The 22340-nt window shown below is 56.3% G+C and overlaps 1 protein-coding gene across 4 annotated transcripts in view, besides 10 other annotated features; it reads right to left on the minus strand.

The window, feature by feature from the left end:
- RPH3AL (rabphilin 3A like (without C2 domains)) overlaps positions 1-22340 on the minus strand; it is a 140419-nt gene that overhangs the window by 86280 nt on the left and 31799 nt on the right. For all 4 annotated transcript variants that reach the window (NM_001190413.2, NM_001190411.2, NM_001190412.2 and 1 more), the window contains one exon: positions 20752-20881. In NM_001190413.2, the coding sequence (NP_001177342.1) occupies positions 20752-20881 (130 nt within the window). The remainder of the gene's footprint in view (positions 1-20751; positions 20882-22340) is intronic.
- Positions 2214-2714: an enhancer, noted in NCBI's record as "H3K4me1 hESC enhancer chr17:150673-151173 (GRCh37/hg19 assembly coordinates)". NCBI's record gives its function as "activates a minimal SCP1, AML or CMV promoter by ChIP-STARR-seq in naive H9 embryonic stem cells {active_cell/tissue: H9 hESC(naive)}" and the evidence as "EXISTENCE:reporter gene assay evidence [ECO:0000049][PMID:30033119]".
- Positions 2956-3726: an enhancer, noted in NCBI's record as "H3K27ac-H3K4me1 hESC enhancer chr17:151415-152185 (GRCh37/hg19 assembly coordinates)". NCBI's record gives its function as "activates a minimal SCP1, AML or CMV promoter by ChIP-STARR-seq in naive H9 embryonic stem cells {active_cell/tissue: H9 hESC(naive)}" and the evidence as "EXISTENCE:reporter gene assay evidence [ECO:0000049][PMID:30033119]".
- Positions 3727-4496: an enhancer, noted in NCBI's record as "H3K27ac-H3K4me1 hESC enhancer chr17:152186-152955 (GRCh37/hg19 assembly coordinates)". NCBI's record gives its function as "activates a minimal SCP1, AML or CMV promoter by ChIP-STARR-seq in naive H9 embryonic stem cells {active_cell/tissue: H9 hESC(naive)}" and the evidence as "EXISTENCE:reporter gene assay evidence [ECO:0000049][PMID:30033119]".
- Positions 11858-12556: an enhancer, noted in NCBI's record as "H3K27ac-H3K4me1 hESC enhancer chr17:160317-161015 (GRCh37/hg19 assembly coordinates)". NCBI's record gives its function as "activates a minimal SCP1, AML or CMV promoter by ChIP-STARR-seq in primed H9 embryonic stem cells {active_cell/tissue: H9 hESC(primed)}" and the evidence as "EXISTENCE:reporter gene assay evidence [ECO:0000049][PMID:30033119]".
- Positions 12557-13254: an enhancer, noted in NCBI's record as "H3K4me1 hESC enhancer chr17:161016-161713 (GRCh37/hg19 assembly coordinates)". NCBI's record gives its function as "activates a minimal SCP1, AML or CMV promoter by ChIP-STARR-seq in naive H9 embryonic stem cells {active_cell/tissue: H9 hESC(naive)}" and the evidence as "EXISTENCE:reporter gene assay evidence [ECO:0000049][PMID:30033119]".
- Positions 16142-16657: an enhancer, noted in NCBI's record as "OCT4-H3K27ac hESC enhancer chr17:164601-165116 (GRCh37/hg19 assembly coordinates)". NCBI's record gives its function as "activates a minimal SCP1, AML or CMV promoter by ChIP-STARR-seq in primed H9 embryonic stem cells {active_cell/tissue: H9 hESC(primed)}" and the evidence as "EXISTENCE:reporter gene assay evidence [ECO:0000049][PMID:30033119]".
- Positions 16658-17174: an enhancer, noted in NCBI's record as "H3K27ac hESC enhancer chr17:165117-165633 (GRCh37/hg19 assembly coordinates)". NCBI's record gives its function as "activates a minimal SCP1, AML or CMV promoter by ChIP-STARR-seq in primed H9 embryonic stem cells {active_cell/tissue: H9 hESC(primed)}" and the evidence as "EXISTENCE:reporter gene assay evidence [ECO:0000049][PMID:30033119]".
- Positions 17175-17690: an enhancer, noted in NCBI's record as "H3K27ac hESC enhancer chr17:165634-166149 (GRCh37/hg19 assembly coordinates)". NCBI's record gives its function as "activates a minimal SCP1, AML or CMV promoter by ChIP-STARR-seq in naive and primed H9 embryonic stem cells {active_cell/tissue: H9 hESC(naive and primed)}" and the evidence as "EXISTENCE:reporter gene assay evidence [ECO:0000049][PMID:30033119]".
- Positions 17693-18193: an enhancer, noted in NCBI's record as "H3K27ac hESC enhancer chr17:166152-166652 (GRCh37/hg19 assembly coordinates)". NCBI's record gives its function as "activates a minimal SCP1, AML or CMV promoter by ChIP-STARR-seq in primed H9 embryonic stem cells {active_cell/tissue: H9 hESC(primed)}" and the evidence as "EXISTENCE:reporter gene assay evidence [ECO:0000049][PMID:30033119]".
- Positions 18194-18694: an enhancer, noted in NCBI's record as "H3K27ac hESC enhancer chr17:166653-167153 (GRCh37/hg19 assembly coordinates)". NCBI's record gives its function as "activates a minimal SCP1, AML or CMV promoter by ChIP-STARR-seq in primed H9 embryonic stem cells {active_cell/tissue: H9 hESC(primed)}" and the evidence as "EXISTENCE:reporter gene assay evidence [ECO:0000049][PMID:30033119]".

Here is a 22340-nt window from a genome sequence, read left to right on the forward strand (position 1 = left end):
CGCTCCAGCCTGGGTGACAAAGGGAGATGTTATCTCAAAAAAAAAAAAAAACTCCCAGCCAGCAAATACATGTTATTGGAACTTATCTTTTATCTGAAAAATACAGCAGACTAGACAAACATTGTAGGATTTCTTAATATTCTAACAGCAACAGCACACTAGCGATCCCTTAGGGACCCTGGTTATGCACAGAACGGAGCTCCAAGGAGGGGGACGGCAGGTCGGGGCCGGGGGAGCCAGGCCTGGCCCTGGGCCTTAGAAATCCCAGCTGGGGATTTCACTCACGCTGCTCAAGTCAGCAGGCTGCAGCCGGGGAATGAACTGAGGGCCTCGGATACCACGTGGGGGTGTTTTCGACTTTATGCTGCTGGCAGTAGGGAGCCACTGAAGGCTTCGGGGGGAGGGAGGGGGACAGTGACCTAATCGGAGCTGCACTTGAACAAGCAGAGGAGTAGAGGATGCACTGGAAAGCGAATGAGACTCGTCCACAGTCTGGAACCCAGTGGGGGCCCTGCAATGGCCCAGCAGCCCCTCCCCTGGGTTGGCAACCCAGGTACTCAGGCCTCACTCCCTGCAGGGCCCGAATGCCGCTGCTGTCTGAGCCTGTATGTGGTTCCTGGGCAGAAGGGTCTCACCCTTCTCTGCCTCAGTTTATCCATCTGTAACCTGGGGCAGACCCCTCCCTCCCTCCCTCCCACGGAAGGCAGGACAAAGGTAAGAGGAGAGTCTGGAAGGAGAGGGCTAAAGGGGCCTCTGGTGAGGGCCTGATTCTCAGTGTTGAGGCCCAGGCTAAAAGGACCCTGGGGGAAATGAACCCGCTCCCTCTTTTCCACTCAGCTTCCCCATCAGCAGAAGAGCTGCCCCCCGTGTCCTCCCACAGGGAACAAGACGGGCCAAGTCCATCCCCAGTTAAGGTCCGTGAACAGCAAACAGCTGCAGGGAAATGTCCCAGCGGGAAGCACAGGGGCGACTGGAGGCCGGTGAAGAATCGCAGGCCTCCCGAAGTGTGCCAGCTTGCAGGGCACGGCCGACGAGGTGTGCGGCACGGGGCCGCGCCGGACTGCAAATGTCATTATCTGTTATTTACCACAACAGAGGACGAGAGGCTGCACAAAATTACCGCGCTTGGCAACGGCCGCTGAGTGGATTTGCCAACGATGCTTCTTCCTGCTGCCAGAGGCTACACTGACCAGACCCAGGGAAGACGGCCACTGAGCCTAGGGGGCAGGTGTCCCGGGGGAGAAGGAGTCCCTGCAGGACAGCCCTGACCAGTGTCCCAGGTACCCCAGCCTAGGCCCGCAGAATCTCTCACCCGCTCTAGCAGGGGCTGGCCCAGCCTAGGCCTGCAGAATCTCCCACCCACTCTAGAAGGGGCTGGCCCAGCCTAGGCCTGCAGAATCTCTCACCCACTCTAGCAGGGGCTGGCCCAGCCTAGGCCCGCAGAATCTCTCACCCGCTCTAGCAGGGGCTGGCCCAGCCTAGGCCTGCAGAATCTCTCACCCACTCTAGAAGGGGCTGGCCCAGCCTAGGCCTGCAGAATCTCTCACCCACTCTAGAAGGGGCTGGCCCAGCCTAGGCCTGCAGAATCTCTTACCCGCTCTAGCAGGGGCTGGCCCAGCCTAGACCTGCAGAATCTCTCACCCGGTCTAGCAGGGGCTGGCCCATAGGCCTGCAGAATCTCTCACCCGCTCTAGCAGGGGCTGGCCCAGCCTAGACCTGCAGAATCTCTCACCCACTCTAGAAGGGGCTGGCCCAGCCTAGACCTGCAGAATCTCTCACCCACTCTAGAAGGGGCTGGCCCAGCCTAGGCCTGCAGAATCTCTTACCCGCTCTAGCAGGGGCTGGCCCAGCCTAGACCTGCAGAATCTCTCACCCGGTCTAGCAGGGGCTGGCCCATAGGCCTGCAGAATCTCTCACCCGCTCTAGCAGGGGCTGGCCCAGCCTAGACCTGCAGAATCTCTCACCCACTCTAGAAGGGGCTGGCCCAGCCTAGACCTGCAGAATCTCTCACCCGCTCTAGCAGGGGCTGGCCCAGCCTAGACCTGCAGAATCTCTCACCCACTCTAGCAGGGGCTGGCCCATAGGCCTGCAGAATCTCTCACCCGCTCTAGCAGGGGCTGGCCCAGCCTAGGCCCGCAGAATCTCTTACCCGCTCTAGCAGGGGCTGGCCCAGCCTAGGCCTGCAGAATCTCTCACCCGCTCTAGCAGGGGCTGGCCCAGCCTAGACCTGCAGAAGCTCTCACCCACTCTAGCAGGGGCTGCCACAGCCTAGGCCTGCAGAATCTCTCACCCACTCTAGCAGGGGCTGGCCTCACAGTGAGGCTGGGCCGTGACTCCTCCACGTATCCAACTATTGTCTAGCCAATGCAAAGGTGGGACAGACCAGGGCAAGGCCTCAGGCCCACTCTGTAGGGGCGCTGCCTCAGGGGGGCCCAGGGCTGGGTGCTACCTCTCACTCTGGATGCTCCGCCATAGGGGCTGCAATCCCTTCCCCAGCATCGTGGGCACGTAGCCGTCGGCCACCTCATTTCATCGGCCACCTTATTCGAAAGTGGGACGAGACATCACCTTCCTTTGGGGTCTCCTGCTCATCTTTAGATCTCTTTACATCTTAAAAGGTACATAGGCAAAGTTCTCTGGGCTTTTTTTTCTTGAGACAGGGTCTCACGCTGTCACCTAGGCTAGAGTGCAGTGGCGGGAGCACGGCTCACTGTAGCTTTAACCTCCCAGGCTTAAGCAATCCTCCCACCTCAGCCTCCCCAGTAGTTGAGATTATGGGTGCGCACCACCGTGCCTGGCTAATTTTTGTATTTTTTTGTAGAGAGGGGGTTTTGCCTTGTTGCCCGGGCTGGTCTCAAACTCCTGGGCTCAAGGGATCCTCCTGCCTTGGCCTCCCAAGTAGCTGGGACTGCAGGGGCACAACCAGGCCCACCTAATTTTTTTCATTTTTTATTAAAACAGGGTCTCGCTTTATTGCCTGGGCTGGTCTCAAACTCCTGGCTTCCAGTGATCCTCCTACCTCGGCCTCCCAAAGTCCTGGAATTACAGGTGTGACCCACCGCGCCCGGCCTGTAGGCAAAGTCCTGAGCCGAGCTGTGACCACGCCTGGCCTGTAGGCAAAGTTCTGACCCGAGCCGTAGGAGTCATTGCAAGGCACTGGCTGTGTCATCGAGAGGGAGTCATCCCTCTGAGCGTCAGTGTCTCCATCTGGAAAACGAGTATGAACACTGCCTTGCCTTTTGCCTGCCCATCTCCTGGGGGCCATGAGGGACACATGACATCATGGAAATGTCAGGCACAGCGGCTCTCAGAAGCACCCCCACCCTGACTTCCTCCCGCTCAGAGGGCACAGACTCACTACGGCCTGAGCCAAAGCGAACTGGGCGGCAAACCTGCCACAGCTTTAAAATAACCACAATCGAGCTGTGTCCCAGAGGCACAGAGGCGAGAGCTTCGGCTCCCAGCCCAGCTGCTGCCACTGCGGCATCTGCGGACTGCGAGGCTGCAAGGCCTGGACTGAGCCCGAGCTGCCTGGGAGGAAACCGCAGGCAGGCCCGAGAGAGTCTCTCGTCCAGCCTTTGCCTGTCACTGGAAGGCCAGAGAGGGAAACAGATTTTCATCTGAGGTCACGCAGGAGGTTCTGAGCACAGCTGTCTCCCGACTCTCGCAGGTGTAGCAGGCCAGGCAGGTCCACGGAGTCACCCCGCCCCACCCACTACGTCCGTCCTTCGATTTACACAAGGTCCAAGGAGCCGTTGCAGGGAATGAACTTGAGCCACGCCTTCAGCTGGATTTCAGACGTGGGCAGGTGTGTCTGTGTGCGGTGCGGGGAGGAGAGAGGAAGCCATCGGAGCCACACTGCAGAGAGGGCCGTGTCCCCAGGAGAGATTCGGACCCCAGGACGAGGCTAAGCTCAACGGGAAACAGGATGGGAGGCGCCCGCCGTCGAGGGAGGGTGGATCCAGGCCCGGCCCTCCCGGCTGCCACCCACACTCACCCCAGGCCTGCCCAGCAGGTGTGTGAGCCGCCTGGAAAAGGGGAGCTACAGGGAAGGGTGAAAAAGCCCCGAATACAACACAGCTCCTAAAACTGGAATTCGATTTACATGTATAGTCATGGGACGATGTTTTTGATATCTTATTAAGTGGAAAAAGAAGATGAAAAAAGGAGTGTACATAGGCATCCACCCTGCGAACATTTGTGTGAGTGCGAAGAGACAGAGAAGGTGGGAGAAGGACAAACACCCAGACCCCGAAGGTCAGGGGCGGGAGCTTCGCATTTCACACACACCTCTGGTGTTTGACTTATTTTTTAGGGTTGGAATATCCTTGATATGTCATGTCTATGAGGCATCCAAGTCAGACAATAAACTTGGCAGTTCTCTATAAGGTTCGAGGTGGAGATAAAGTCTGAGGTTTACAAAGTTAAGAACTAACAACGTAACTGTATCGTTAAGGTTGGCGGCTCATGCCTGCATCCCAGCAGTTTCAGAGGCTGAGCAGGAGGATCGCCTGAGGAGTCTGAGGCAGCCTGGGCAACATAACAAGGCCCAGTCTCCACAAAAAATGAGAAATTAGCCAGGAGTGGTGGCGCACACCTGTAGTCCCAGCTGCCCGGGAGGCTGAGGTGGGAGGATCACTGGAGCCCAGAGGGGTGAGGCTGCCGTGAGCTAAGATCACACCGCTGCACTCCAGCCGGGGCAGCACAGCGAGACCCTGTCTCAAAAAAACAATCACGAAAAAAAAAAAGATTTAACAACTTTGCAATGAATTAGATCACCCAGCAGTTATAAGAAAGAGGTTGGGGGGCAGGGAGGAAGGCTGTACTGAGGTTTTAATAATTATTGAGCAGTGACCGTGTTTCAGGAAAGAGATGGGGAGGGAGGGAGGCTGTACTGAGGTTTTAATAATTATTGAGCAGTGACCGTGTTTCAGGAAAGAGATGGGGAGGGAGGGAGGCTGTACTGAGGTTTTAATAATTATTGAGCAGTGACCGTGTCTCAGGAAAGAGATGGGGAGGGAGGGAGGCTGTACTGAGGTTTTAATAATTATTGAGCAGTGACCGTGTCTCAGGAAAGAGGTGGGGAGGGAGGGAGGCTGTACTGAGGTTTTAATAATTATTGAGCAGTGACCGTGTCTCAGGAAAGAGATGGGGAGGGAGGGAGGCTGTACTGAGGTTTTAATAATTATTGAGCAGTGACCGTGTCTCAGGAAAGAGATGGGGAGGGAGGGAGGCTGTACTGAGGTTTTAATAATTATTGAGCAGTGACCGTGTCTCAGGAAAGAGATGGGGAGGGAGGGAGGCTGTACTGAGGTTTTAATAATTATTGAGCAGTGACCGTGTCTCAGGAAAGAGATGGGGAGGGAGGGAGGCTGTACTGAGGTTTTAATAATTATTGAGCAGTGACCGTGTTTCAGGAAAGAGATGGGGAGGGAGGGAGGCTGTACTGAGGTTTTAATAATTATTGAGCAGTGACCGTGTCTCAGGAAAGAGTGGGGCAGGGAGGGAGGCTGTACTGAGGTTTTAATAATTATTGAGCAGTGACCGTGTCTCAGGCACCGTTTTAAGAGTTTATCACATACTTTCCTCATTGCAATCCTTGCAACCGCCCCCGAGATAGGTATTATTATTCCCGACTTCCAGGTGAGAGACCTGAAGCAGACAGAGGTGAGGGAATGAGCCCAGGCCGGGAGGACGCAGGGAGGCAGAATCCAGCGTTCTAAACCTCTGCACAGTCCTGTAAGTTACTTTTTAAAATTCCGTCGAGAGGAAACTAGTAAGACCAAGAGAAGCTAACTCATTAAAGTCTGTAATCTGCTGAGGCTCAAACAACTGAGGCACTGAGGCTGGTACCCCAGGCCACCCCCACCAACAACATAACCAGAGGGGAAGGAAGTCAGGCCCCTTCTCACTCTGAGCAGCTGGTGCCTGGGATTTTAGGCTGTCACGACGATTCCACCCGGCCAGGGCAGGCCCGAACCAGCCGGAGGCCACAGGAGAACCAATGAGCCTGGCTGGACTCCTGCAAACCTTGAGGGACGCCGAGATTCACATTCACTGAATTTTCATGCCACGTGACACTCTTCTTCTTTTGTTCCCTCCCGCCCTGCCCCACGGAGCCATTTACAAACATAAAACCATTTTTAAACCATTTTTAAATGATTTAAAACCTGTTTCTGTACCAAGTGGTACAGAAATAGGGGCCAGCCCCCGGTCCAGCGCCACGAGCTCCTAGGGCCAGAGTGCAAGAGAGGCACAGGGCGAGAGGGGGACAGGGCGAGAGGGGGACAGGGCGAGAGGGGGACAGGGCGGGAGGGGGACAGGGCGAGAGGGGACAGGGCGAGAGGGGGACAGGGCGGGAGGGGGACAGGGCGAGAGGGGGACAGGGCGAGAGGGGGACAGGGCGGGAGGGGGACAGGGCGGGAGGGGGACAGGGCGAGAGGGGACAGGGCGAGAGGGGGACAGGGTCATCAGGGTGCTTAGGGTGGGCTCCGGGGCGTCTGCACCACCAGGCGCACAGCCCAGGAGGTGGCAGGAGTCATCCGTTCTGGAAACAGCCAGAGGTACAACCTCGTGTCCAGGCACCGGCCGAGTTGGGACTCAGGGTCAAAGCCAAGCTGAGGCAACGTCGAGATGGCGCGTAACAGCCCTCAGCCTGCACCTGCCACACTGCGGAGGCCCCACAGGGACAATCCGGGAGGGTGGGGTGGTGCCTGCCTGGCAGCTGCGGGGGCTGGGGAGGGAAGGGCTACTCCACCCTGGAGGCCCAGCTCACACCAACCTCCTAGCCCCTGACGTCCCACCAGGCAGCTTCACAAGGTTACAGGTCGGTTCCTTCTCCACTGGATTCCTCCCACATCGGGTGACCTGACCACACACACGGCAGGTGCCCAGCGGTGGTCCCAGCCCCAACATCTCAAGAGCAGGACACCCGAGTGGAGATACTAGGTCACAGGAATGTCTCCACACAGACATTCAGGCAGGTTCGAGGGAAGAAGACAGCTTCCCGGCCACTCTCCCACCACGCCCACACCTGGTGGGCTCCTCTCCTCAACCTGGGCCCACATTCTCTCCCAGGTTACTCACATCACTCAGTCATCCCTCACATCACTCACATCGCCCCATGACATCCGCCTCTGAGCTGCCAGCCTCCCTCCCCAGCCCCTTTCTTCCTTCCCTCCCTCCCTCCCTCCTTTCTTTTTTTTGAAACAGGTCACCCAGGCTGGAGTTCAGTGGCACAATCTTGACTCACTGCAGCCTCCGCCTCTGGGGCTCAAGCCTTCCAGGCTCAAGCAATCCTCAGCCTCAGCCTCCCAAGTAGTTGGAAACGTAACTGGGCACCACCATGCCCAGCTATTTTTTTTTTTTTTTCAGTAGAGATGAGGTCTCACTACATTACCCAGGCTGGTCTCAGACTCCTGGTCTCAAGCAATCTTCTCACCTTGGCCTCCCAAAGTGCTAGGATTACAGGTGTGAGCCACTGCGCCCGACTTCCCCAGCCCCTTTCTGACCCACAGCCTGGGATCCAGCCTGGACTACCTGGAACACATACCCAGCCCCCCTGGAACCCCAGCTCCACCGCCAACATGCCCCACGAGCCCCTTCCCCACATCTGCTCCCACCCCAGACCAGCCCTCCACGCAGGCCCCACGCACGTGCGCAGCCTGGCCGGTAAGGCCATCAGACCCAGCCGGTAAGGCCATCAGACCCAGCACTGGCCCGCCGTGTGACCTGGCAAGGGACTAACCTCCACCTCGCCTCCGTTTCTTCACCTGCAACGAGGAGACCGTGACCTCCCAGGTGGTTTTGCTAATCAGCTGGGTGCTTGGTACCCCTAGAGTGAGCTCTCCACCGCTGGCAGCTTTATCGTGGCTAACTCCTGTCTTCAGAGTCTCCATCTTGGCTGCTCCTGCCTTAATTCAGGCCTTCATTATGGCGAATTGGATAATTAGTATCCACGAATCCTCTGCATCTGGACTTAACCTCCCCACGGGCCCATGAGACTGTCGTTTCCCTGCTTAGTCCCTTGGATGGCTCTGCTGCCTACAGGACACAAGCCCAGCCCCTGCGCCCGGCACACAGAGTCCTCCCGATCCTCACGTCTCTCTCCTTCCCTCCCTCCCCACCTGCTTCTTACCCCTCAGGGCCTCTTTTCCTCCCCCCTCTGACCTCCTCTTCTTCCCTTTTCCTCTCTTCCTCTCCTTCTCATGCCCCAGCATAACCAGACTCCCAGCTGCGCCCGATGCCCCCACACTTCCTGGGCACACTGCCTCTGCCGAGCTGTGCCTGCTCCTGAAGTGCCCTCTCCTGGCACCTGGTCACCCACCCTCCAGGCCCGGCTGCCACATCTGCTCCACTCTGCAGCCCGGGGGCCTCCCCCACCTCCCCAGGTGCCGCAGCTCACCCATGGCAGGTCCTCCCCACGGCAGGCCCATCCCATGGCAGGCCTGTCCCACAGCAGATCCTCCCCATGGCAGGTCCTCCCCATGGCAGGCCCATCCCACGGCAGATCCTCCCCGCGGCAGGTCCTCCCCACGGCAGGTCCATCCCACGGCAGGTCCATCCCACGGCAGGTCCTCCCCACGGCAGGTCCATCCCACGGCAGGTCCATCCCGCGGCAGGTCCATCCCACGGCAGGTCCTCCCCACGGCAGGTCCTCCCCACGGCAGGTCCTCCCCGCGGCAGGTCCATCCTACGGCAGGTCCATCCCACGGCAGGTCCATCCCGCGGCAGGTCCTCCCCACGGCAGATCCTCCCCACGGCAGGTCCTCCCCACAGCAGGTCTGCCCCACGCTCATCCCTGCCTTCTACTTCTACAGCACTCCTCACACTGCACTGCAATAGCTGACACCAACTATGAGCTCCTGGAGGGCAGGGGCTGGCATCTCTACCTCCTCAGCCCCGGGGCCTGGCACGAAGGTGAGCTGAGTGCACACAGGAACTGACCAGGGGACAGGTCATGCAAAGCTCCGTCCAGAAAGCTCTGGGCCTTGCCAGGGATCCGTGTGGTTCCCCAAGCCCACCCTGGGTCTCTGCAGCCGATTGGCTGCCTTTGTGCTGATGACCCTGAGCTGAAGGTCAGCAGTGTGCTGGGGTGAACGGAAGGGGCTCAGCACCGCACAAGATAGCTGCTCCTTCTTTCTTTGGAAGAAGAAAAGCCACACGCAGGCCTCAAGACAGCAAGAGAAAAGGAGGCCTCAATGGAGATGTTCCGCTTGCCAGACTCTGAGCAAGGCAGATGTTCCAAGATGCCGTGCGGTGTCTGGTCCAATCCTCCGATCCCAGCAACTGCAGCCAAGTCCATTCCTGCCAGACAGCCTTGGAGATGCAAGAGAGCCGAAGCAGGCCCCTCGGGGCAGAAGAATTAAGTGACTTTTTCCGGGAATTTAGGAAGCTTCAGTCGCTGAATGAAAAAATCCATCTTTGTAATGAGGGGCAAACACTCGTCTTCCACGTCTGAATTAGGTCAAGAGGAGAAAGGACATTGTGAGGCCAATTTGCAGGCGACTGAGATGAAATGGCTCAAGGAGGCTGCTGCTTCTACAGCTCCAGCAATGGACGGGCACTGAGGATTAGCTTTGGAAAGGGAGTAGGGGACAGGGCCGTGGAGGACTTTCACCGCACACCCATTTGGGAGGGAGGCTCTGCAAAAAACTGACTTCTCCTAAGCCTTATGCTTGTGGGGATGTGAAATGGTGCAGCTGCCACGGAAAGCAGGGTGGAGGCTCCTCAAACAGGTAAACACAGAACTGCCGTATGATTCAGCAATTCCACTGCTGGGTATAGACCCAAGAGAATCGAAGGCAGGGTTGCAGAGGGGTTTGCACGCTCGTGCCCACTGCAGCATTGTTCACAATAGCTGCAACATGGAAGCAACCCAAATATCCATCACAGGTGAGTGGATACACAAAGTGGGGTATGCACATACAGTGAAATTTTCCTCGCCTTAAAAAGGATGGAAATTCCTACACATGCTACATCATGGATGAACCTTGAAAGCATTATGCAAAGGGCACCTGGTTAAACTGCAGCTTCTAGTTTGGGAGGTCTGTGGGGGCCTGAGATTCTGCATTTCTAATGAACATCCAGGTGAGGTCCTCGGCCCACACTTTGAGTAGCAGAGACCCCATCAGCACCTGAATTCTCTCCTAGCCCTAATGCCTCCACCTCCAGGAGCAGCTCTCTGTAAACTGGATGGGGCCAGGACCCCCACAGCTTCCCAAGGCAGAAGGAGAATACTTCTCAGAGGTTAGCAGACTCTCTCTAGGCAGCTGCTGCAGGCAGGTCACAAATCGCCACCATCTCTAAGACTGGAGGACTGGCTGCTGGGAATAAAGCAGTGATGGAGGCTGGCTGTGGTGGCTCAAGCCTGTAATCCCAGCACTTTGAGAGGCCGAGGCAGGAGGATCATTTGAGCCAGGAGTTTGAGACCAGCCTGGGCAACATAGCAGACCCTGTCTCTACAAAAAATAAAAAATTTTCCAGGCGAGGTGGTGCATGACTGTGGTCCTAGCTCCTAGGGAGGCCGAGGTGGGAGGATCGATTGAGCCCAGGAGTTTGAGGCTGCAGTGAGCCCTGTTTGCCACTGCACTCCAGCCTGGGCGGCAGAGCTAGACCTTGTCTCTTAAAAAAGGAGCACTCCTCCTGCTCTGTCCATGGCTTCCTGGCCTCGAGTCCCAGATACCAAACAGAGAGGGAAGCTGAAGCCTTAGGAAAATGGCATGTACCCCGCCCTGCCCAGGGCTCCTGCCAGCCCCCTGCTGGGGGTCCGGGATACGGCACATCCCTTGTCCAGGGCTCCTGCCAGCCCCCCTGCTGGGGGTCCGGGATATGGCATGTCCCCCGCCCTGCCCAGGGCTCCTGCCAGCCCCCCTGCTGGGGGTCCGGGATATGGCACGTCCCCTGCCCTGCCCCAGGCTCCTGCCAGCCTCCTGCTGGGGGTCCAGGATATGGCACATCCCCCGTCCAGGGCTCCTGCCAGCCCCCTGCTGGGGGTCTGGGATATGGCACGTCCCCTGCCCTGCCCCAGGCTCCTGCCAGCCTCCTGCTGGGGGTCCAGGATACGGCATGTCCCCTGCCCTGCCCCAGGCTCCTGCCAGCCCCCCTGCCAGGGGTCCGGGATGACTCTCAGCAGGACACATCCCCTCCTCGGTGCAAAGTGGGCTCAAGCCAGGTTAGGGGAAAGGTCAGGTTCTGACCCAGCCCCTTCCCTCCATGCTGGGCTGGGTAATACCTGCCCCCAGCCTGAGCTGGACCTCCTCTAAGGGACGTGGGCAAAATATAAGACTGCCCAGTCTTCCTTCATGAAGACTCAGGTCATCGTTTCATAGGCAGGCTCCCCTGCACCCACACTGTGGGACACCTTTGGCTGAGACCAGAAAAAAAAAACGACTGCTTCCCTCAAATGGTGACAATGCATCCCAGGCTCAGGCGGGCTCTGCTGTGGCCCTGCCCAGCCTCCCCATGGCTAGCTGGACTCTCAGTGAGACTCAAAGCTGGCTGACTCAGATCCCAAGCAATTAGGAGCACCAGTCCTCTCTAATTAACCAGCCAGCCCCTCTCCCTTCCCACCAAGGCCCTCAGATAATGAGGGCAGGCAGTCGAGGCATGCAGGCCCAATTACGGAGGGGACGCAGCTCCGAGGACCGGCATCTCGGCTTCCACCCACAAGCTCATTAGCTTGTAGCTGCTGAACGCTGCCAGGGCTCCTGCTGGGGGCGCGTGTGTGTGCCCAGGAGCACCTGAGGCTCTGTCCTCCCCAACCATGCCTGGGCCTGGATGCTTCCCACGGCAGGGATCTCCCCAGCATCCCTTCTCCAGCCTGCCCAAGCCCACACACCTCCCAGGGCCCCAGGCTGCAGCCATCCGCAGAAGGTGAGGAGGCGGAATGTGGAGATGGAGATAAACAGGGAGGTGGCCCAGAAACCGGCAGTCCCAGAGTGGAGGGCCCGATTCCTCACACCGTGTTAGAGCCCTTCCAGCCCCCCAGGGCTGCCGCCTTAACCCCATTCCCAGCTGTAATTAATTACCCTTAATGGTTTCACGCCTCCCTCCGGAGCACTGGGATCCGCATGGCTCCTGACACCAGTCGGTGTGCGATAAATATTTGTGGGATAAGGAAGGGATGGCATCGTCTCTCCTCCCAGACACGAGAGAGCCCTGCAGGGGCAAGGGCTTCGCAGGGGCTATGTCTGGGCCTCCCTGATTCTCCAGCGACTCGGGTTCTAGGCCACCACCCCCTACAGCAGGGCCCCCAGGGGGGCAGTGCCTCTGCGATCATCTCCCTGGAGTCCCAGGCCCTCCACACCTGCCCATTCACTGCTCAAACGCAGTTCATCTCCCGAAAGACTCCCCTGCACCTGCCCATTCACTGCTCAAATGCAGCTCGTCCCCTGAAAGACTCCTCTACACCTGCCCATTCACTGCTCAAATGCAGCTCGTCCCCTGAAAGACTCCACCCTCTTACAAGTCCCCTACAGCTCAGCGTCCCAAAGATCTCAGCTCTGCCCTCTGTTTTCAGGTCCCCAGGATCTCAGCCTTGGAGGCAGCTGGAGCATGCCCCGTCCCTCCTCCTCGGTCCACTGTTCCTAAGTCGAATCTGCCATTGCATCCTGTGTTCCTTTTTCCTTCAGCACACGCCTCTGTGCTCCCCAGGCATCATCCTCACAGTTGAGCACTTGCCCAGCCCGTTTCCAGCTTCCGGCCTCAGCCTGTGTGGTCTTCCCCTCCCCGGATGCCCTTCCCTCTGCCCTCAGCCTTTCAGAAACCTGCCCAGCCTCCAGGGGCCCACTCCTCCAGGCAGCCCTCCTGGCTGCTCTGAGTCCTGGGAACCCCAGTCCCAACCACAGTGCACGTCACACTAGAGAATACTGTCTGCCCATCTTGACGGTCAGGACGTGAGGGAAGCGATTATTCTGAAAACCTCTCTTTTTGGATCCCCCCAACCCAGGATTGGCTCACAATGGGCGAAGCGATCAAGAAAGACATTTATACGAGTAACGAGACAATTATAACGAGACATTTATACGAGCACAAAGACTGAGGCGTTTCCCTGCCGGCTCAGGACATCCAGTGCTGGAGAGCTACAAAGGCTTCCAGAGGCTTTTATGTAAATTACAGAAAATATGGGACTAGCTGTGGGAGCTCCAATTTTAAGAAAACAAGAATTCCAACGAGGAGAATGTGGGTGCTATGGACTGAACTGTGTCCCTTCAAAATTCCTATGTTGAAGCCCTGACCCCCAGAGTGACTGTATTTGGAGAGAAGGTCTTTAGGAGGTAATTAAGGTAAAATGAGGGTGCAAGGGTGAGGCCCTAATCCGATAGGACTAGTGTCTTTATAAGAAAAGGGAGAGGCCGGGTGCTGTGGCTCACGTCTGTAATCCCAGTGCTTTGGGAAGCGGAGGTGGGAGGATTGCTTGAGGGCTAGTTAGAGACCAGCCCGGGCAACAAAGCGATACCCTGTCTCTACAAAAAATTAAAAATTAGACAGGCGTGGTGGCACACATCTGTAGTCTCAGCTGCCCGGGAAGCTGGGGTGGGAAGATTGCAGGACCCCAGGAGTTGAAGGCTGCAGTGAACAATGATCATGCCACTGCACTCCAGCCTGGGTGACAGAGTGAGACCCTGTCAAAACACAGAAAAGCAAGAGGAGGAGGAGAGACTAGAGCCCTCTCCTCCTGCCACACGAGGACACACGGAGAAGGCAGCTGTCTGCAAGCCATGAACAGGGCCCTCACCAGACACAGAATCAGCCAGCACCTTGATCTCAGAATTTCGTGCCTCCAAACTGAAAAATAAATATCTACGGCTGAAGGTGCCCAGTCTGTGGCACTTTATTAGGGCGGTCTGAGCTGACTATGACACGGGGAGTCACTCAGCCTCTTCTGAAATGTCTGGGGATCTGCTCCATCGTTGGTAACACGTGTGTGGCCTCAGCAGGCAGGACCCTGAAGAGGTTTCATAACAATCACAGGCATCCTTTACTGCACGCTGCCAATGGGCCAGGCAGTCTGCTAAGGGCTTCTCCTGCACTATTGCATCCATCAACGATGACAGAAGCTTAATGACCCCATTTTACAGATGAAAGAACAGAGGCCCAGAGAGGTTAAGTGACTTGTACGAGACCGCGCCACCGTGGCCAAGCTGGGACCTCAACCCAAGTCTGTCTGGTCCTGCAGCTCCGTGCACAACCACCTCACAATCCTGCAGCCAGGGAGGAGGGAAGCTAGCCGTGCCAGGTGCTTGCAGGAACACGGAGGCACTCCTGAAAGTACAGATGAGTCCCTCCCATCTGGGCAGGAGCCCCCAGCACTGCGTGGCATCTGCGTGGGGACAGTCCTCACTGGCAAGTCCAGGAGAACCGGCTGCCCTCTTGCTGCTCAGGGTGGACCAAGCGACCTCTCATTCCAGCCCCCTGAAGTCGAGAGCTCTTTCCTTCCTAGAACCCTCCTTCACCCCCTCTAATTCCTCTCCATCTGCTTAGAATACACTGAAGAGGCTGACGCTCTGTCTCAGCAAATGGCCTCAGTCCCTACGTTGCCTGTCTCCATCCCTATCATCTCCCAGTGACGGCCATCACCACCTGTCTCCAGCACTAGGGTCGTCTCTTAAAAACACAGATCAGATCACACCCCTGCTCAAAACACTCCACTGGCATCTCATTAAACTTAAGTGAAATCTCAGCTCCTGACCTTGACTGGCGAGGCTGTGTGATGGGCCATCCGGCCGCTCACTCTCTGCCCCAGATGCCACCATGTGCCCCTTGAACATGCCCAGCTCGTTCCTGCCTCAGGGCCTTCAGGACTGTTCCAGGGGAAACTTGCCGTTCCCTCTGCCGGGAACACTGTTCCACCCAGATCTTCCCAGGGCCAGCTGTTGCTTGTGTTTGGGCCTGAGCTCAGAGAGGCCCCCTAAGCCTCTCCCTAGGTGCTCTGCGTTAATTCAACAGAGTCCTCGGTGTACCTAGTCTTGCTTCATGTTTATTCATTTGTCTTCTCTATGCCCTGACCCTGGAAAGTCATCTCCACAACAGGGTGGACTGTGTCCATCTCGTTCACGGCGTCGGCAGGACCCAGAACAGGGCTTGCACACAATGGGCTATTATTTACAGAATGAATGAAGATGAATGAACGAATGACACCACCTTCTCCAAGAAGGAAGAGTGAACCCTCCAAAGCCCCCAAATGCCCACCATCCAGCTGTGCTCCCCTAATACACTCCCCTCCCACCTCAATCCTGGAACAAGCCCCTCAGAAGCCTCAGAAGCTCAAAGATTCCCCGGCCTCATCACCCAAGCCAGGACTGAGACCTCAGTCTGCTCAACACCAAGAACCATCTGCAACAGAAACGCCCGGACCAGCCCACAGCTCCAGAGTAGCGTGGGGACCCACATCCAGCTGAGGTCCTTCCCCAGGACAGCCACTGTTGCCTAAGACATGGCTCCAAGGAGCACCTGTACTAACCGTTGCACAGCCACACCAGCAGCGGCCTCTGCAGCACAGGCCCTGGACTGTCCCAGGGGAAGTGGGCCAGGATCTGTGCCTCTTCATGGTCCCCTATAGCTGGAATATTTACCACAGGCCAGGCTCTGTGCCTCTCCACAGGCCCCTATACCTGGAATATTCACAGCAGCTGTGGGGTTGAGAGACAGGAGGAGGAAGCACACTGCCAGCTCCCGTTCTCCCAGGCAGGAGTCACTGCCCGAGTCCTGCAAGTTGGCCATTCCCAAGTCTCTGTGCCCCACCTCCACTGACATGTAGTCCCTCTGCCCCCACCTCCATTGACCTGTAGTCTCTATGCCCCCACCTCCATTGACCTGTAGTCCCTATACTCCACGTCCATTGACCTGTAGTCCCTGTGACTCCACCTCCATTGACCTGTAGTCTCTGTGCCCCACCTCCACTGACAGGCAGTCTCTGTGCTCCACCTCCACTGACCTGTAGTCCCTGTGCCCCACCTCCATTGACCTGTAGTCCCTGTGACTCCACCTCCATTGACCTGTAGTCTCTGTGACTCCACCTCCATTGACCTGTAGTCTCTGTGCTCCACCTCCACTGACCTGTAGTCTCTGTGCTCCACCTCCATTGACCTGTAGTCTCTGTGACCCCACCTCCATTGACCTGTAGTCCCTGTACTCCACGTCCATTGACCTGTAGTCTCTGTGCTCCACCTCCATTGACCTGTAGTCCCTGTGCCCCACCTCCATTGACCTGTAGTCTCTGTGCTCCACCTCCATTGACCAGTAGTCCCTGTGCCCCACCTCCATTGACCTGTAGTCTCTGTGCTCCACCTCCATTGACCAGTAGTCCCTGTGCCCCACCTCCATTGACCTGTAGTCTCTGTGCTCCACCTCCATTGACCTGTAGTCCCTGTACTCCACCTCCACTGAACTGTAGTCCCTGTGCTCCACCTCCACTGAATTGTAGTCCCTGTGACCCCACCTCCATTGACCTGTAGTCTCTGTGCTCCACCTCCATTGACCTGTAGTCCCTGTGCCCCCACCTCCATTCACCTGTAGTCCCTGTGCTCCACCTCCATTCACCTGTAGTCTCTGTGCCCCCACCTTCATTCACCTGTAGTCCCTGTGCCCCCACCTCCATTGACCTGTAGTCCCTGTGCCCCCACCTCCAGTGACCTGTAGTCCCTGTGACCCCACCTCCACTGACCTGTAGTCCCTGTGACTCCACTTCCACTGACCTGTAGTCCCTGTGCCCCACCTCCATTGACCTGTAGTCCCTGTGCCCCCACCTCCATTGACCTGTAGTCCCTGTGCCTCACCTCCATTGACCTGTAGTCCCTGTGCTCCCACCTCCATTGACCTGTAGTCCCTGTGACTCCACCTCCATTGACCTGTAGTCCCTGTGCTCCCACCTCCATTGACCTGTAGTCCCTGTGCCCCACCTCCATTGACCTGTAGTCCCTGTGCTCCACCTCCACTGAACTCTAGTCCCTGTACTCCACCTCCACTGACCTGTAGTCCCTGTGCTCCACCTCCACTGACCTGTAGTCCCTGTGACCCCACCTCCATTGACCTGTAGTCCTTGTGCCCCACCTCTATTGACCCGTAGTCTCTGTGCTCCACATCCATTGACCTTTAGTCCCCGTGACCCCATCTCTATTGACCTGTAGTCCCTGTGCCCCACCTCCATTGACCTGTAGTCCCTGTGCCCCCACCTCCATTGACCTGTAGTCCCTGTGCCCCCACCTCCATTGACCTGTAGTCCCTGTGACTCCACCTCCACTGATGTGTAGTCCCTGTGCCCCCACCTCCATTGACCTGTAGTCCCTGTGACCCCACCTCCACTGACGTGTAGTCCCTGTGCCCCACCTCCATTGACCTGTAGTCCCTGTGCCCCCACCTCCATTGACCTGTAGTCCCTGTGACTCCACCTCCAGTGATGTGTAGTCCCTGTGCTCCACCTCCATTGACCTGTAGTCTCTCTGCACCCACCTCCATTGACCTGCAGTCCCTGTGCTCCACCTCCATTGACCTGTAGTCCCTGTGCTCCACCTCCACTGACCTGTAGTTCCTGTGCCCCACCTCCATTGACCTGTAGTCCCTGTGCCCCCACCTCCATTGACCTGTAGTCCCTGTGACTCCATCTCCAGTGATGCGTAGTCTCTGTGCTCCACCTCCATTGACCTGTAGTCCCTGTGCTCCACCTCCACTGACCTGTAGTCTCTGTGCTCCACCTCCATTGACCTGTAGTCTCTCTGCACCCACCTCCATTGTCCTGTAGTCCCTGTGACCCCACCTCCATTGACCTGTAGTCTCTGTGCTCCACCTCCACTGACCTGTAGTCTCTGTGCCCCACCTCCACTGACCTGTAGTCTCTGTGCTCCACCTCCAGTGACCTGTAGTCCCTGTGACTCCACCTCCACTGACATGTAGTCCCTGTGCCCCACCTCCATTGACCTGTAGTCCCTGTGCTCCACTTCCATTGACTTGTAGTCCCTGTACTCCACCTCCATTGACCTGCAGTGCCTGTGCTCCACCTCCATTGACCTGCAGTCCCTGTGCCCCACCTCCATTGACCTGTAGTCTCTGTGCCCCACCTCCATTGACCTGTAGTCCATGTGCCCCACCTCCATTGACCTGAAGTCCCTGTGCCCCCACCTCCATTGACCTGTAGTCCCTGTGCCCCCACCTCCATTGACCTGTAGTCCCTGTGACTCCACCTCCAGTGATGTGTAGTCCCTGTGCTCCACCTCCATTGACCTGTAGTCCCTGTGCTCCACCTCCACTGACCTGTAGTCTCTGTGCTCCACCTCCATTGACCTGTAGTCTCTCTACACCCACCTCCATTGACCTGTAGTCCCTGTGACCCCACCTCCATTGACCTGTAGTCTCTGTGCTCCACCTCCACTGACCTGTAGTCTCTGTGCCCCACCTCCACTGACCTGTAGTCTCTGTGCTCCACCTCCAGTGACCTGTAGTCCCTGTGACTCCACCTCCACTGACGTGTAGTCCCTGTGCCCCACCTCCATTGACCTTTAGTCCCTGTGCTCCACCTCCATTGACCTGTAGTCCCTGTACTCCACCTCCATTGACCTGCAGTGCCTGTGCTCCACCTCCATTGACCTGCAGTCCCTGTGCCCCACCTCCATTGACCTGTAGTCTCTCTGTCCCACCTCCATTGACCTTTAGTCCATGTGCCCCACCTCCATTGACCTGAAGTCCCTGTGCCCCCACCTCCATTGACCTGTAGTCCCTGTGGCCCCACGTCCATTGACTTGTAGTCTCTGTGCTCCACACCTCCATTGACCTGTAGTCCATGTGCCCCCACCTCCATTGACCTGTAGTTTCTGTGCTCCACACCTCCATTGACCTGTAGTCCCTGTGCCCCCACCTCCATTGACCTGAAGTCCCTGTGCCCCCACCTCCACTGACCTGTAGTCCAGGGCCTTGGCAAGGCTGAAGGAGGAGCCCGCACAGTCTTACACCCAGGCCCCCATCTCCCCTCCAGTATTTTTGGGCCAGTTAATCCACCTTCCTCAGCCCAGTTTTCCCTTACCACATATGACAAAAGCAGGAAAAGAAATGAGGTAGCTGAAGTCCTGGCTTTCCTGCTTACTAATTGGGCAGGTTAACTTCACTGTACCTTTGGTTTTCTCATCCAGCTTTTGAATGCCCCTGAAAATGCCCTCAAGTTTGCCAGTGGCCTGCATGTTCCACATCCACATTTATTTCTTTTGACTTCTCCATCTTTCCCGGTTCTCTCAACAGTTCACACCCCACCCCACCCCACCCCATCCTCCATCCTCCACCCTCCACCCTCTGTTGTTTCTTCCCAGGGTTTATTATTTCCTGACATCATCTTGTTTATTTGATCATTACTTGTTTTTTAGTTCCCTTGCCCAATATCATCTCAAGAAAATTCCTTCTCTGTCTTCTTCAGTATAATAACTCCAGTCTTAAAACCATGACTAGCAGCCAGGCACGGTGGCTCACGCCTGTAATCCCAGCAGTTTGGGAGGCCGAGGCAGGCGGATCACCTGAGGTCAGGAGTTCAAGACCAGCCTGGCCAACATGGTGAAACCCTGTCTCTACTAAAATTCAAAAATTAGCCGGTAGTGGTGGCATGCACCTGTAATCCCAGCTACTCAGGAGGCTGAGGCAGGAGAATCACTTGAACCTGGAGGCAGAGGTTGCAGTGAGCCAAGACTGCACCATTTGCACTCCAGCCTGGGTGACAGAGCAAGACTCCGTCTCTGGGGGTGGAAAAAAGCATGACTAGCACATGGAAGTTACTTGAGGATGGGTTCCAGCAAAACTAAGGTGAAAACAAAAAAGAGGAAGACATGGTGTCTTGAGATCAGTGTTTCTCACCTAGGAGGGCAGCAAAGGGAAATCCCGTTATAATAGCTGTGCAGCTACCAACCTAGGAGGAGCAGGAGTAAGAATCTAGAAGGGTTTATGCCAGGAAAAAAAAAATAGCCTCCATATGATAGTATAATTAAGATGCTAACTATCTTGAGGATTAGAAGGCATATTATTCTCCCAGAAATAAGAAAACGAAAGGCAAGTCGAAACTCCAGAAAAACTAAAAGCTATATTTAAAAAGTCCTAGACTCAATGCGAAACAATTTAATATGTGGCACAATTTAGTATAAGAAGAAAATCAATTTGATCTCCCTGCAAAGATCATTCTTCTTTGAGTAACCAGGGATCAAGAGAAGCAGGACCAATGGAACAGAAAGTGTAATCCCAGCATACTGCTTGGACTTCAGGAAGATAGGATTTAACTAATAACAACTAAAAACATTTTTTCCTTGTTGCCTTCATATATTCTGGAGATGATAACATTTATTGAGTGCCTATGTACCAGGCAAGGTTTTAAGAGTTTTGCGTTGAAGAATATTTAATCCTCATAGCATGGTGAGGTACATGGTATCACGACCACATATTACAGACAAGGAACATCAGGTGTGAGATATTAAACAAGTTTTCTGAGGTCATAGCAGAAGAGCTAGATTCACAGCCTGACTTCTAACACCAGCTCTGGGTCTCGTGGCTCGGGTGTGAATCTACCAGAAGGGCTAGAAGATGCCTCCAAGCTGAGACGCAGAGCTGGCCCTAGACATCAGTCCATTTGGTTTTTAAGTCTTAGTGCTTCTTGCCAAGATGCAGAGGATACCACATGCCCAACGCAGACATACACACTCCTGGGAGCCAGGATGCAAAGCCACAGCGCAGCGGGGCTGGTCCAGGCTGGGAAGCCAGAATGACAGGGCCAGAGCAGGGTCTTACCTTCCTGCAGTCTTTGCAGAACACCGACGAGCTGCCCAGGAAGCCCAGCACCTCCCCGCAGAGCAGACACTGGGACAGGCCGTTCCCCATCACATTCCGCCTCATGGTCTCCAGCCGCTCCACCAGCCGCCTGCAGCACAGGACACAGAGTCAGAGGGACTGTGCTTCCTGCCTGGGCACAGTTGCACTGAGGCCCGAAACCGTACCATGCCACATGTGCTGTCCCCTCACCTGGGATATTGTTCCTTGCCCCGCCCTTCCCCTGGATAACAGCGAATCCTTCATTCACTCACCAACTATTCAGTGAGCACCTATGATTCATCAGACACTGGGAATACTGTAGCAAACAAGCCAGAGACAGACATGGTCCCTGTTCTCATGGAACTTACCTTCAATAAGGAAGAAAATTCATAAGCAAGAAAACAAGCGAACTGGTTTCAGATAGAGAGCAGCGCTATGAAATGGAAATAGTGGGGGGAGGGAGGGGGAGGGAGATTGAGGGGAGGGAGGGGGAGGGAGACTGAGGGGAGGGAGGGGGAGGGAGACTGAGGGGAGGGAGGGGGAGGGAGACTGAGGGGAGGGAGGGGGAGGGAGATTGAGGGGAGGGAGGGGGAGGGACATTGAGGGGAGGGAGGGGGAGGGACATTGAGGGGAGGGAGGGGGAGGGACATTGAGGGGAGAGAGGGGGAGGGACATTGAGGGGAGGGAGGGGGAGGGACATTGAGGGGAGGGAGGGGGAGGGACATTGAGGGGAGGGAGGGGGAGGGACATTGAGGGGAGGGAGGGGGAGGGACATTGAGGGGAGGGAGGGGGAGGGACATTGAGGGACAGGGGCATGTTCCATGGGACCAGCGAAGGCTCTCGGAGAACACGTGGACTCACAGCTGAAGAATGAGCCATGCCATCTGGCCTGTCTTTCCCACTGTAAAGATAAGGCCGGGCAGGGTGGCTCATGCCTGACATCCCAGCCCTTTGTGAGGCTGAGGCAGGCGGATCGCTTGAGCCCAGAAGTTCGAGAGCAGCCTGGGTAACATAGTGAGACCCCATCTCTACAAAAAAAATAAAATAAAAAATAGCTGGGTGTGGTGGTGCCCACGCACGGTCCTAGCTACTTAAGGCTGAGGTGGGGAGGTCGCTTGAGCCCAGGAAGTTGAGGCTGCAGTGATCTGTGATAGCACCACTGCATTCTAATCTACACTGCAGAGTGAGACCCTGTCCCCCCCAAAAAAAAAAGAAAAGGAAAAGAAAGATCAAAGATACATAGGAGGCCAGAATGAAATCAATTCCTGCCCAGTGCATTTGTGTCTTCCTACTTGTGCTTTTCTGTGTTTTTCAGATTTTCTAGGAAATATGAATTGCTTTCGTAATTAAACACTGGACACGATGGAAGTGCTGGAAGACTGAGCTGTGGTCGGCGCTGGAGGCGGAGGCCAGGAGAGGCACGTAGAGCCAGGCGGGGAGCGGCTCCTGCTGGAGCCTTTCAGGGGCGACCTGTGGCTTGGCCTCCACCTGAACCCCTCCCTTGGCTGAACCACAGCTGACCTGCAGGTGTGCACAGCCGAACAGCTCCTGGGAGGCTTCACCAGGCT

The sequence above is a fragment of the Homo sapiens genome, chromosome 17 (genome assembly GCF_000001405.40).
Source record: "Homo sapiens chromosome 17, GRCh38.p14 Primary Assembly".
Taxonomy (NCBI): Eukaryota; Metazoa; Chordata; class Mammalia; order Primates; family Hominidae; genus Homo; species Homo sapiens.